This window comes from Homo sapiens, chromosome 7 (assembly GCF_000001405.40).
Source record: "Homo sapiens chromosome 7, GRCh38.p14 Primary Assembly".
Taxonomy (NCBI): domain Eukaryota; kingdom Metazoa; phylum Chordata; class Mammalia; order Primates; family Hominidae; genus Homo; species Homo sapiens.
Genome location: NC_000007.14, coordinates 121,988,340 through 122,002,832, shown reverse-complemented (window position 1 = coordinate 122,002,832; position 14,493 = coordinate 121,988,340). Strand labels below are relative to the sequence as shown.

General features: G+C 34.5%; 1 protein-coding gene across 5 annotated transcripts in view, besides 1 other annotated feature; it reads right to left on the bottom strand.

Moving 5' to 3' along the window:
* Positions 1 to 14,493, bottom strand: part of PTPRZ1 (protein tyrosine phosphatase receptor type Z1) — a 188,876-nt gene that overhangs the window by 59,204 nt on the left and 115,179 nt on the right. For all 5 annotated transcript variants that reach the window (NM_001369396.1, NM_002851.3, NM_001369395.1 and 2 more), the window contains 2 exons: positions 6,267 to 6,451; positions 4,827 to 4,953 (listed from right to left, as the gene is read on the bottom strand). In NM_001369396.1, coding sequence (NP_001356325.1) covers positions 4,827 to 4,953; positions 6,267 to 6,451 — 312 coding nt within the window. The remainder of the gene's footprint in view (positions 1 to 4,826; positions 4,954 to 6,266; positions 6,452 to 14,493) is intronic.
* Positions 351 to 555: a silencer, noted in NCBI's record as "fragment chr7:121642332-121642536 (GRCh37/hg19 assembly coordinates)". NCBI's record gives its function as "represses an EF-1alpha promoter that drives an FKBP-Casp9 reporter gene in an ReSE screen in HepG2 liver carcinoma cells {active_cell/tissue: HepG2}" and the evidence as "EXISTENCE:reporter gene assay evidence [ECO:0000049][PMID:32094911]".

Here is a 14,493-nt window from a genome sequence, read left to right as displayed (position 1 = left end):
AGTGGTACACATACTGTAGGCTTTTCCTCTGCCAAGAGGCTATACAAAAATATCAAGTATTTTCCATTTGTTTCAACATGCCTAAGAAGGTGTTCAAAATTTTTAAAAAATGGTCTAACTCCACCTAACTTCATACTTTTAATGGGCAAATATAATTTTCTTATTTAATCGTAATAAGGGTTGGGGAAGGGTATGTATAACTATCACATTGAGGATTTATTTCCCTTTTTCTTTAATATTTTTAGTGTGTATTGCATTAGACTTATTTTTATCATTTTACCAGAGCATCAACTAACTATAGGGATTATGGTTTCTATTCTAGTAAATTACAATACAGGGTTTTAATCCAATCACATCCCCTAAAGAATATTAATGACTTATAATTGGATTGCTGTTTACTGTAATAAAAGCAAGACTTTTTCTTTGGGCCTCCTTGGCTCTGGGAAAACATGTGTAGGCCTAGGCACGTCTCCTTGGCACTCTCATGGGTGAGCACCCCCAAGTGTTAGCACATTCATATTACTGCATATAAAACCACCTTGAAGGCTCTTTATTCTGGTTTCCAACTGGACTGAGATCATTTGAACTGACTGAAATTCCCAGGAATACTTCAATACCTCTATTTCTTAGAATCCAGAAGTCTTTTGCTGAGTCTCTTCATAACAATTTTGAAATAAAATAATTTGGAAGATTGTTTCTATCTTCCTAAAGATTTTGAAGCCATAATTCTGGAACTGTGAATTCAACATCCTGAACTCAAAGTTTAGCTCTGCTGATGGGCACAAGCTCTCATATTGGGTACCCCTAAACCTGCTGCTTTCTCACAAGTAATAACTGATATTTTAGTAACCACTGGTTTGAGTCAGGCACTACCAATATATTAAATAGTTCAAAAATTATACTGGCTTATAGAATCATCTCCCTTCATCAAAATAGACTCCATAAAGGCTAGAAAAAAGTCAGATAGTGAAGAACTATCAGTATTTTTTGTTTTGAGTGAACACTTAGAATTCACATTTTTGTAATAACTGAACAAAAACTGTTGACTCATTCTGGTTTTGTTTTGGGACACATGTAATGTTAAATTAAAAAAAACACATTAGGAACACATTAATTTTCTATAACACAAAAAAGCAACACTGATGTAGGTGAGCAAGCAAGGCTTATTTAATTGTTTGAAGATAAGCCAAGTTTCACAGTGCACGAAATAAAAGCAATGTAGACCGCAACTGCTTCAAACTATAATTCTGCATATAATAATGTAATAACACTAATAGGAAGGATGGTACAGGTAGAGTGAGGACAGATGTATGGTGACTTAAGACAATTGTTATACAACTGAAAGCACACAGTAACAAGAAAACTGTGGATTTAATTCATCATGCATTTAAATCTAACACATATAATTATCAAGGCCCTAAAACATGTACTTAAATAATCCCTCCAGAGCTGTATGTTAATTAGCTTTATCTTTATATGAGAAATAAACATAATTATCTTAGTAACAATAAGATAAATATATTTATGAAATTATTTATTCATAAATGTAACTAAGAAGTCTTTTAAAAGAATATACATTCCTTTTTAACATTAAAAAGGCTCCTTGATAAATTTAAATTAATTTCTGAACGCAAACTTACACATTTTTTTAAACGACAATTTGAAATAATACTTAATGAGCATAGTTTATGGTGATACTTTTGTACACAAGTGTAATTAAAAGGTACAAAGAATAATGTAAGCAAATTATTAATTTAAATGCATAGTTTTATCACATTTAGGAAGTTAAAGGCACTATTTGGAAGACTGAGTTTTTCTTCAGGGAAACTGATTTAAATATTTGAAATCTGGCCAGGTGCGGTGGCTCACGCCTGTGATCCCAGCACTTTGGGAGGCTGAGGTGGGTGGATCACGAGGTCAGGAGTTCGAGACCAGCCTGGCCCACATGGTGAAACCCCGTCTCTACTAAAAATACAAAATTAGCTGGGTGTGGTGGCGCATGCCTGTAATCTCAGCTACTCAGGAGGCTGAGGCAGGAGAATCGCTTGAACCCAGGAGGTGGAGGGTGCAGCAGGCCAAGATTGCACCACTGCATTCCAGCCTGGGTGACAGAGCAAGACTCCACCTCAAATATATATATATATATATATATATATATATATATATATATATATATATATATATATGAAATCTATCAAAGAATGACAGCAATTATAAATTATCTTTTTCATTTCTTTTTAACAAAAGCAAAAAGCAATACAATATTTAGTAAACAGTTTATCCTAAATAATAATAGAATTATTAAATAGGCTACATTACAGTTACCAAGCTAATAAAATAACATGATTAACAGAATGAAGTGGTATTAATAAAAACCATGAAATAAGCAGCAAACTCAAAAGCCACTTACATCTATATTAGTCACACAAATAATAAAATTCACTAATCTTGTAGGCACCAAATCTGTTTTACCAAGCCACAAGATAGTATTATTGTCAAGACTTTCATTGGGATATATTTACCAAAGAAACAATATTTAAGACAATGTAATTTCAATACTAAATTGTAAATCTGTGGATAAAAATGCCATTGCAGCCTTTCAGATCAGAAAGAGTAACTCCTAAGAGAACCAATCTTTTCTTTATAAAAAATAGGATAATCCCAAACTTTGGAGGAACAGGTTTTTGATGCAGGAATTTTTGGTAGAAATAATAGGGAATAATCTACCTAAGTTTGTAACCCTTAGTTTTTAAGAGGCATAGCATATCAAAACATCAAATCAAATACCATCTTTTACTAACACATCATTACTATACAAAATGCCTTAAGAGACTGAGGCATCCATGGAGATTTAATGGTGTATCCAAACAAGCATCTCATTATTACAACGTTCAATAGTGTCCCGGTCCTTTAAATAAATAGAAATTTTAAGTTTTAATAATATTTATTATTTAGTACAAATGTGAAAATACAACAAATGATAGAAGAATATTATACTTTGTGCCAATATAGAGTCAGTCTAACAGGATCACTCAGAAATCACTTATGGAGAAAATACATATTTAATCTGTTTCTTTCATATGCAATAAGTTTCTCCAAAATAAAAAAGAACAAAAAAATTCAGAAAGTTTAAAGCTTTGGCATAGCGAATAAAATAGGAAACAGTGTAAAAATAAATGGGTAAAAGTAATAATTTTTTGCAAACTCCTGAGAAATTGTTTTAGGTACGAAATTAGAGTAGCATAATTAAACCAAGGTAACAAAATTAAGTGAATGTGTTCAATATACTTCATACTCAAAATGCATAAATAAAGGTAGAAGAGATTTTTTTATATGCCATATTTCAATCAATTCACATATGGTGTTGGCCAACATGATCAATGTTGTATGGCTAAAGGTGTCATTTTCTGGGTAGCTCATTGTGAGGAACTTTGGTGATGGTTGCCATGCAATGGTGTAGCGTGATATGGCATAGTTAAAATCATGGTCAGTTACTTTGATACTCGCCTTTCTATAAGACTTAGAGCTCACATTCCATTAAAAAATAACCTGATTTTGAAAAACAATGCTAAATAAAGGCAATAAGAAAGATGATTATACCCAGGCCATGAGGCAGGTCATAAGAAATACTAAATAATGATATTGCCATCATGGTAGTAGTAATATTCATTAGTCGTTAATATCAAGTTGGGAGATACCTTGGCAAGTTTTGTAGCCTGTAGTTTGGAATGATGCATACTATAATATCTGATGCTCTCACATATAATCTTTAACTTAAAAAGTCAACTAGTAAGAACAGCTATGGTAAGGTGATCAATGAGCAAGTACTTTATTTAAGCTCATGTTGGATTAAAGTCCCTGCTACAGCATTTAGACAACAATGCAAACCGTGCACATCAGTTTTCCTGCCATAGGTAAAACTAAAATAGGCTATAATTAATATAATTTGTAACCACTCACTTACATTAAAATTTGTAAAAGTTTCAATGAGTAGGCTCCTAATATGGATGACCAAAGAATATATATATTTACGTATGTATTTATGCAGATGTATGTGATTATACATATGTATATATACATATATGCACGTCTATTCTATTATTTAAAACTGCTTACACTAACAAGAGGAAAACTAACTTAATTATGTAAACTTGTAAATTGTCAAATTATGATGGTCAGCATTTGATTCAGTTATTGCATATGCTCTAAGATCAAAAGATTTTCCCATACATTTAGAGAAGGTACATGCAAATAAAACACAAGTAGAAACAACTTTTGTTTGTCTTATTTTTGGGAAGAGTAAGGGCAATCAACCAAGAGGAAAACACCCCACTCCCCATAACCAAATTATAAAAAGTAGAAAAATAGATCTAAGACAAACTCTTGAGATGCTTTGTATAGATATTTGAAAGTACCTCACATGGTCTTAGGATCATGTATACACTTACTACATAATGCTTTGGGGGCTGAAAAGAGGAAATAAATACAAATTAAACCAACTCTTAATTATCCAAAATAACAGTCTCAACATTTACATAGCAATTTTCATTTAATGATTATTACAATGTTATAAATATGTTTAGTCACTCTTATTTTACAAATGGTAAACTCCAATATTAAGGATAAGTTTACTTATTGTCTGGCACCAGACCTGCTGAATGAGAAATGGGTCCCATGCCCCAAAAAATTACCCGGCAATCCAGACTTAAGAGAAAATCACTTTGCCTTTTGGCCAAAAGAATATAGAGAGAAAGCATCAATGCATACAGTAATTAAACTAACCTCATTTATTGAGTTAATATATAGATGTATCTGGTGGCACTTACCAGGATTATCAGTAGGCATGTCGACAATCAGTTGGTCGCTGTATTTTCCATATAAGCCATTAGTGCATATGGCTACTATCTGAAGAACATAACTCATATTGGGTAGCAAATTATTGAGAATAGCACCCTAAAAGAAAGATGTTAGTAATTATACAAATGTTATTCTCATAGGACTACCAACACACTAGGTATCTTTCCTAGAAAACTTTTTCTCCCTGGTCCGTGGAAAATACTTCTATTTTATTAACCTAAGGAAAAGTTTATGCAATGTTGCTTAGTTAAACTTGTGGTATTTGTGAATTATGAAGAACTGGAAAGCTAGGCTTTTTTTTTTTTTTTGCTTTTTAAAAATCAGATTTAGTTTCAGGAAGTTTCATTTTTAGCCAGAACTCATCAAATTCATAAATTAGTACTACAAACTAAAAATTAATATTTTAGACAAATAAATGGGGGGCATTTGCAAACAAGGAGCAATGTGAAAAAGTGAACAACTAAGTTATCTCTTTTTCTTGACAATATATATGCAAGAACAGTAATAGAATTATCTTCTTCACGTAATTATGAAATAAACATTTTTATTACTATTTATTTCACGATTTTCCCAGGTCATTGTGTCTCCATATTCCAGGCAACTGAATTAAAAGGTTACTAAAATTTTATCCATTTTGTCCACATGATATGAAACATAATTAATAGTGCATTTTTATTTAAATGCAGGTTCCCAGGACTTGCAGGACTCTAGGTGCCTGAGTGCAGAGTCCAGTGTCCTTTAACCTGCAGTGGGGACTTTCTGGACCTACATCCAGATGAAGGTTTGTCAACTACACCCTAATCTATGGCCAACACTTCCCTACCAGAGCAAAGTTTAATACTGACATGCTCAGGCCACAAAGGGAATCTGTACTTTATTCGCATGCGCTGGTGGAGGGAGGCAGGGGTGGATCTTTTTGTAAGAAATGTTTTCTTACATCCCCAAAGTTCTGACCCAATCATGACTTCCCAGCTGTTATCTGAAAATTTTTTGGTGCAACAAAGAGGACTTGTATGTCCCCTACTCTACTTTTCCTGTGCTGATATAGCGTAATGGAAGACACAATATAAAATGTATCAGGGCACTGAGATTCTGGCACTATTCTACAACTGAAATCTTAAGAAAGGCCACACTAAATGATCTCCAGTTCATAAGTCATATGTATCTACTCTATAGTGTTATTGTTGGCAAAGTTATGATATCCATTTAATTAAATGTAACTTTAAACATAATTTAGTATAGCTTCTAATTTAAAATTTTTTTTTAAATTTAAAAATACTCAGCCTACCCCACCTTCACATAAAGTCTAAAAGTAATGGAGGAAAATAATATACAACCATTTGTAAGTTCTTACCTTGGAAATTAAATTATAATGTTACCCTATGTAAAACAACTGATCATATAGTTACCAAGTCTTGATAGCCATCTGTCAAAAATTCATGCTTGGTTTGGTCCTCTCCATCCAACTGCTGGTACAAAACTGCAAACTTCTCAATCATGGTATCATAAACGACTCGAGGTCTTTCCCATGTAACAAGAAGGCTGGTATAATTCTCTGGGTCAGCCTGAACATTTTCTGGTTCTGAACTACAAACTTCAGAGAGAAAAAAGTACAGTTGTTGATAGAACTTAGCCTTGAGGACTTGAATAAATAAAACATATTCTATAAAAATTTTATTGTGTTTTATTTCAATGTAAAGTAAAAAGTTACACTTTCCCACTGTGGAGCTTTTGCTTATTCCATTTCCTATATCTAAAATACTCTTTCCACCCCTCTTAACTCTATCTGTTCAAATCCCAGCTTTCCATTCTGGAAAGGTCTTGGTCAAATGCTACCTCCTTCATTACTCACATTAATCTCTACTGAAGTGATCTCTGTCATTGTCAATTGCCTATTTTATCATTATTACTGCATTATTTGCATACTTTCGTATTGTATTTTTCCTGAATGAATCTTGACTCCTCTAGTGGATTATAAACATAAGAACCATAGCTCTGTAGTTCTATATTGCCTAGAACATTGTTTTGAATATACCTGGCATACAGATTCATTTTTAGAAATAAATGAACAAAGAATATCTGCAAGCTCATGATGACTTAATTTCTCTTGTTTGGTACCTGAAAATATATTCAGTTCAGGATGAGGATAATTTCAATTATGAAAGACATACTATTATCGGAACATTTTGTTATTAGACAATCCTTGAACTAATTTAAAATTCCCAACCAGAGAAAACCAAAGAAAACCTAAAATTGCCATTTCAGTATTTTTCAGACGTGCTGACAAAAATCCCATTTTGTTATCATAAGTAAATTAAGAAAATAATTTTAGGGAATTAAGAGACTTGTTTGTCTCATCTGAAAAAGTAGTATTATGAAAAATCATTCAGAGACTTCTTAAAATGAATTCAGGCCCATGCTGGGAATCATGCCCCAAATTTAGTCCCATCAGAGAGTGCCCTGGTACTTTCCAAAATGCACTTATAATGTGATAGTTTGGACTAATTTGGAAAAGAAAAACTATAACATTTTATGATATTTTACTAACGAAGCAGAGTAATAAATATCTCTTCATGGGCCAGATTTGCAAAGCAGAGGGAGAGAAAGATCTCTCAGGCTGAATATTAATTAATATACTTACTTGTTTTCAGGTGACACCTGAAGTTACAAAGCCACTCAATGAGAGCATGCAGTAGACTTAGGTAAATCAGTCATCACTGATACAACAATTACAAGGACTCAAAAATATGTTAACAACTGCCGCCGATTGTGACCAAAATGACTTGTCTCTGCTAGTTTGCAGTTCACCTCATGAACACCGGAGGGCACCCACAACTAACAATTGGTCTTACAAATGGAAACAAATTTTACATATAATACTTAGTAGTCACAATTTTAGCATATGTACAATATGATAGCAATGGCATAGCATATGTACAGTATGCTAGCAGTGGTACAGAAATTATTTAGGAAATATGAATATATATATATACCTTTTACAAATAAATACATGTATAGCTTTATATCAGTTAGAAATTATTTTTCACTTCAAACCTTTGATGTTATTTTTTGTTTAGGGAGGGCTTAGGTTGGGGTGTTCCTTTAGAAATAAAAGAAAAATTATTTCATTGTCAAAAAACATGAATTCAGAATAAGAAAATATATTTTAATTTAGGTGTATACTACATGATGTTACTCTACTGAGTGAGACTTCTACTGATGTCCACCAGATGGCAGAAGACCTTCAAATTGTCTCAAGTGAGCTATTCACGTTTCTATCATTGGAGCAACAAGCTCGTTCTTGCTTCTAATGAATCCCAAGTTCACTTTTAGAAAAGTTGGAAGTGACTCTGGACAATATCATTTGTAGACTTCGTCCTCCAAAAATCAATTCCACTTTTTACAGAATGGGAATGATTTAAAGTGAACTATACACTTCAAGATGAAACTGTTTGGAAATGCATTAATTTTGGCTAACACGGTGAAACCCTGTCTCTACTAAAAATACAAAAAATTAGCCAGGCGTGGTGGCGGGCGCCTGTAATCCCAGCTACTCGGGAGGCTGAGGCAGGAGAATGGCGTGAACCCGGGATGCGGAGCTTGCAGTGAGCCCAGATTGCGCCACTGCACTCCAGCCGGGGCAACAGAGCAAGACTCCGTCTCAAAAAAAAAAAAAAAAAAAAAAAGAAATGCATTAATTTTATGCATACATACAAAGCATAACAATCTCTTAAGAAAAAAATAAAGGATTCATTGCAAAACATCCAAAGGACTACTGCCTAAGCAGCAGAAACGACTTTGGTTGGATGTCTATGTTTGTCTCGCCTTAGTAGTAGCAATCAGTAGACGTGTCAAAATTTATGAATCAACATTAATATAAAGTAGAGCTCCAAAAAGAAAGTTATATTTTCTTGCCCATAAGTTTTCACTTCTTTGTTCTCCTCCTTGTAAATCTGTAAGAGTTTGTTAGTTATTTGTTTAATAGCTTGAGTTTATATTTTAATTAGAAATTTACTTTTTAAATACCTGTGTTTATTGTTAATCAACAATATAGTTGTATGCTATCAAGCTTCAGGTAAATCTTTTATTTTAGATGTGGAGACACAGGCTCTTATGGTGAAAAAAACATACATACTTTAGAATGTTATTAACAGAAAAGCCTATATTTCTATATGTAGTTTATGATCTTGCCAAAGGGTTTCCTTTCTATAAGATAGAGCTGAATCTTTTAAATAACAATTTAGTTAATTCCATACACACTATTTGGTGTTCAAACCATGGAATGACCATAGAAGAAGTGATTAATAGACACTAAATTTCCCAGGTTTTGCATATATTTCCTATTGAAATCAGCCCAATTATCTTTGTTTTTTGTTTTGTGTTTTTTTTTTTTTTTTTTTTTTGAGACAGTCTCGCTCTGTCATCCAGGTTGGAGTGCAGTGCCACAATCTCGCCTTACTGCAAACTCCGCCTCCTGGGTTCACACCATTCTCCTGCCTCAGCCTCCCGAGCAGCTGGGATTACAGGTGTCCACCACCATGCCCGGCTGTTTTTTTTTTGTATTTTTAGTAGAGATGAGGTTTCACTGTGTTAGCCGGGATGGTCACCGTGTTAGCCAGGATGGTCTCGATCTCCTGACCTCGTGATCCTCTCACCTCAGCCTCCCCAAGTGCTGGGATTACAGGCATGAGTCACCGCACCCGGCCAGCCCAATTATCTTATTAGAAGCATACCTACTCTGTAAAGTACATTTTCTGGATTGAAAATCAATAACATTTTTCCAGATCAATATGTACTCAGACATCAAATACAAGCTACTATAAAGTAAAATAGTAACAAAAATATAATTTTCCTGATCATGAGGAGTTCGAAACTGTTGAAGCTTCATTCTCTCCCTCAGGCCTATATCTCACATACTGATTCCTTTCCATGTCTACATGTGATCTGGGTCATAGTTACTGATTCTTCAGGGCACACTGGCTAAGAAGGAGAACCTAGTTACTGGTTAGTGCAGGCTTCTGGCTGTGAGTCTGGGGCCCACGTCAAGTCACGTAGAGTACAAGTAAATGGCACTGCACCATACATGAGCAGTGAGCAAAGAATCCTCACTATAAAGAATGAGAATGTAGTCTCCTTTATCAGGGAGCTATACATGTTCTTGCTTTAAAAACTTATTTTTGGCATTCCACTCTCATCTGCTTGGTTCTAGGCACTCTAGACATACAGAAGAAGAAGATAGTGTCTCAGCCTTTAGGATGCTCATTCCTGTGATAGCTTTCAAACACTTAGATTTAGTAAGCTCTCAGATGTAACGAGTGGTTTTAGATTCTAAATTCTGCACTCCATTGATAGAGGAATGTATAAAAAACTTATGAAAAATTCTGCCATTTAGGCCAAATTCTTTTCAAATTTATACACATTTCCTACTAAAAATGGTATAAGCTTCTTAAACTTTTAGCTGACACAAAGTCCTGTGCTTTATCATTCATCCTCTCATTACTTAAATGAAGAGTGAACACCTAGTACGTAGGAATGGATGTGATCTGTGGAACCGGTGCTAAAATATTAATAAGCAAAGCACTGAATGATGAAGAAAAAAAGAAAAGAGACAGAGAAATGCAAATGCATTCCTTGGCTGTGACAAATCTTTGTTAATCAAGAAAGTTGATGCAGATGACCAAGGGGAGATAGGAGATTCTTTCCACTTCTGTTCCTCTCTAGCCTGCCTTGGAAGAAGCACAATCTGCCCTGAGGGAAAAGGCGCAGTCTTAGCTTCAGGTATTCTGAGTAAAATATGGATTGATACGAAATGGCAGGGAGGTGATTCTTAGGGAGTGGCAGAGAAAATGTCATAATTACCTGAGACTACACTAGGTCTCACTCAGTTATTTCCCACTAATTTGAAGTTCTGTACAGTATAACACAGCTCATGCCAAAAGTGCTTCGTAAATACATGCTAATAAGTCCACCACTTCCTTATTTGAAGTTTATGAGCCTCATTTTTAAAAGTAGTAAGACAATGACTGCTGAGAGAAAAGCTGAATGACTTACAGACCCAGAAGGTAACCAATGAGGTTGTGACTTCTCCTCAGGCAGTAGCAGATCCTAAAACAACTAATGTAAACATTGACACAAATGCTGAATGTAATTGGAAAAGATCTATCCCTGTTTTGTACTTCTGAATGATTACATATTCACTTTAGATTAATAGCCAAAAGAAGTCTTTCTAATTCTACCTCTTTCACTCAGTCTTTAGGGACCCAGAGTGACTTCATCAACAGTTCAATTTGTAGTATATAATCTTCCAAGAAGTAAATAATATTCATTTCACTTTTTAAAACATAGGTGCAGTACAGTGTTTACATACATGTGACCTTAACAAATGCTAGTAACAACCCACTGACCTTCAAGAAGGTAAGTCTACTAATGTATAATTCATTATGACGTTTTTTCAGGAAATTGTACAAAATTTCTCATAGGTCAAAATATTATGCTACAAAGACACTCCCTTTATGCTACTCTGTCCTGACAACTATTTTATCTTTTATTGTTTTTGTTTTTTTAAGTTTGTATTAAATATATTACAATGCTAGCAAATGAGATTTGAAGTGCATCCATAATTCTATTCAACAATTATTTAAGAACACCTTAATCATGAAAAACTTGAATAGTATACCATACTCACTGTGATATCTTGGCTGTCCATATATACACATGACAATGATACTAGTTATGAGTCAGTAGCACGTTACATTCAAGGGACTGTACTGCTTTGCAAATTTTAGGTCATTTAAACCTCACCACAACCCTATAGGGTGACCATTTTTAACTTTTCCATTCTATAGGTGAAGAAACTGAAGCTTGGGGAGTTTAAGTAAGTTGACAATTTTTATATGACTAATAAGTATTGGTGCTGGAGTTTAAAATCAAGTCTACTGAACTTTAAGGTCTGATTTTCCCCCCTGTGCTTTAGCAGGTCCCCGCTTCTTAGCAGAAAAACCTTGTAAGGTGGTAAGAAGGCAGCATGAAAGCATCTGATGCCTGGAAGGCGTGCATACAGTTGAACTTAATCTACTTCATACTTTTGCTATGTTTGTACTGTTATTCACATGTAGTACTCATTATTTAAAAAACAAACAAACAAACAGTTTTTATTGGCCAAGCACGATGGCTCACGCCTGTAATCTCAGCACTTTGGGAGGTGAGGGCAGGCGGATCACCTGAGGTCAGGAGTTCGAGACCAGTCTGGCCAACATGGTGAAACCCCGTCTCTGCTAAAAATACAAAAATTAGTCGGGCGTGGTAGCATGCGCCTGTAGTCCCAGCTACTAGGGAGGCTGACGCAGGAGAATCGCTTGAACCCAGGAGGTAGAGGCTGCAGTAAGCAGAGATCGATACACTGTGCTCAAGCCTGGGTGACAAAGAGAGACTCTGTCAAAAAAAAAAAAAAAAAAAAAAAAAAAGACAGTTTTCACTAACTCTTTCAGGACCAGATGGTTCTATTAAATTCTGTGATCCTTAGAAGAGCCAGTGTCCATTCCATGATGCCAAAAAGAAATGCCTTCCTAATAAATGGCACTCTCCATACAAATGGAAATACAGATAAAATATGCATTAATTCACAAATAATCTATTGAGCGCCTGCTGTGAATGCAAAAAATGAATAAGGCCTGGTCTCTAACCTTACAGAGTTTATATGAATATATAAATCTCACATGGTTTTTGCGATTATTTATAATGTATTTCTAAAAATACATTTTCCTACAATGCATTTATTGAGAGCAAGATTTTGACAATTTTTATGCTAGCTTTTACTTCTCCTCTTGGTCAAAATGAGGATGTTAGATATTTATAATGGCAAAAAATATATGAACTGAAGGTCCAAAATTGAGGAACTGGTTAAGGTTTAATATACAGTTATAACTATATGATGGAATACAACATAAAATTAAGAATGATGTATTAAAGGTATAATATGAAGTAAAAAAAATCAGTAAACAGACATGTGGTATACTCTCATTTTTTGTGAAGTATAATAACATTTTTAAAAAATTTCAGAGAAAGATCTGGATGGATATTTACCAAAATCTTCATAATAGTTATCTCTGGGTAGTGTAATTACAGGGTATTTTTATTTTCTTCTGTGTGCTTATCTATATTTTCTACGCTTTATAATTTCATGTAATAAAAATTTTCAGATTGAATTTAATAAAAATCAAAACTGAATATAAATACAATCCTCAATTCTTATTCTCAAATTCAGTTCCGAAGGAGATAGTATATCCATTAAGAAAAAACTTTCGGTGGAGCGTGGTGGCTCATGCCTGTAGTCCCAGCACTTTGGGAGGCCGAGGTGGGCGGATCACCTGAGTTCGGGAGTTCAAGACCAGCCTGACTAACATGGCGAAACCCTGTCTCTACTAAAAATACAAAATTAGCTGGGTGTGGTGGCGCATGCCAGTAATCTCAGCTACTTGGGAGGCTGAGGCAGGAGAATCACTCGAACCCAGGAGGCGGAGGTTGCGGTGAGCCGATATCGTGCCATTGCACTCCAGCCTGGGCAACAAGAGTGAAACTCCAACTCAAAAAAAAAAAAAAAACTTTCATAGGAACACAGTATTTCTATGCACAGGACAAATGATAATAAATGCTTATTGAGTGTAAAGACTCGTGATGGAAACAGCAAGTCCTAGTTTGTGAAGAAAGAAACAACTAATTTCTGTGGGTCTAATCAGATTCATTTCTCCTCTTTTTTAACTGCAAAAATAAAAGCAAGTAGCTCACTTCTTTATAATGATTTCAGTAAATGCAGACTGTTATACAATGGACATCTATAAAAATTATTACATAATAAATCTTGATATGCTAGGTGTTCATTATTGTTAAGTACAATAATTTTACAGAGGATCAACAGAGTCAAAATGAAGAATGTAAATTATTTGCTATTTTTTTCAGTCACAGAGGAAACTATTTCATAACAATTCTGTCATAATACTGATACTATCTTTTTAAAATTAGAATCTTTCTTTTCCTGGAATGATCTTTAATTTTGAACATGAACTGTACACACATGCTAATCCTACTGTACTGTATTCTTCTGAAGGCTTTGCAAATTTTAAATTATTTAAAGGATGTTCAGCAAGAAGAACTTGGCTCCAACCTGTCTGGAAATCTAAAGCCAGTCATTCCTTCTGTGTTTGTTGCCAATAACACATATGCTCTTTTTAACCCCAGAGGCTTAGACATGAGTAAGCTTTGGCCAATGTTTTAATTCATTCACTTATTCACCATTCATCAAGGAATCAAAGGGCTCTTACTACCTGCCAGGTACTTTATCAGATGTTACAGGTAACACTGAGATCAATTAGACAGGGATCTACTAAGAAACTAAGGCATGCACATAAACACCCCTGAAGCAAGGCAAGAAAGGCAAAGTGCCACAGCTGCAGGTCAGGGATTATGATGGTTCAGAAGAAAGAGGAATCAGAAAGGCCCTATACGCATAAGGGCATATTAATTATTTGACAGTGGTTTGTATTAAATCCAAAAAAGAATCGACTGAATATGTAACTGTATGGATGAGACTCATCCAACCAACATGACCTGACTTTTCTATTTCATTGCTGTCTCAAAATG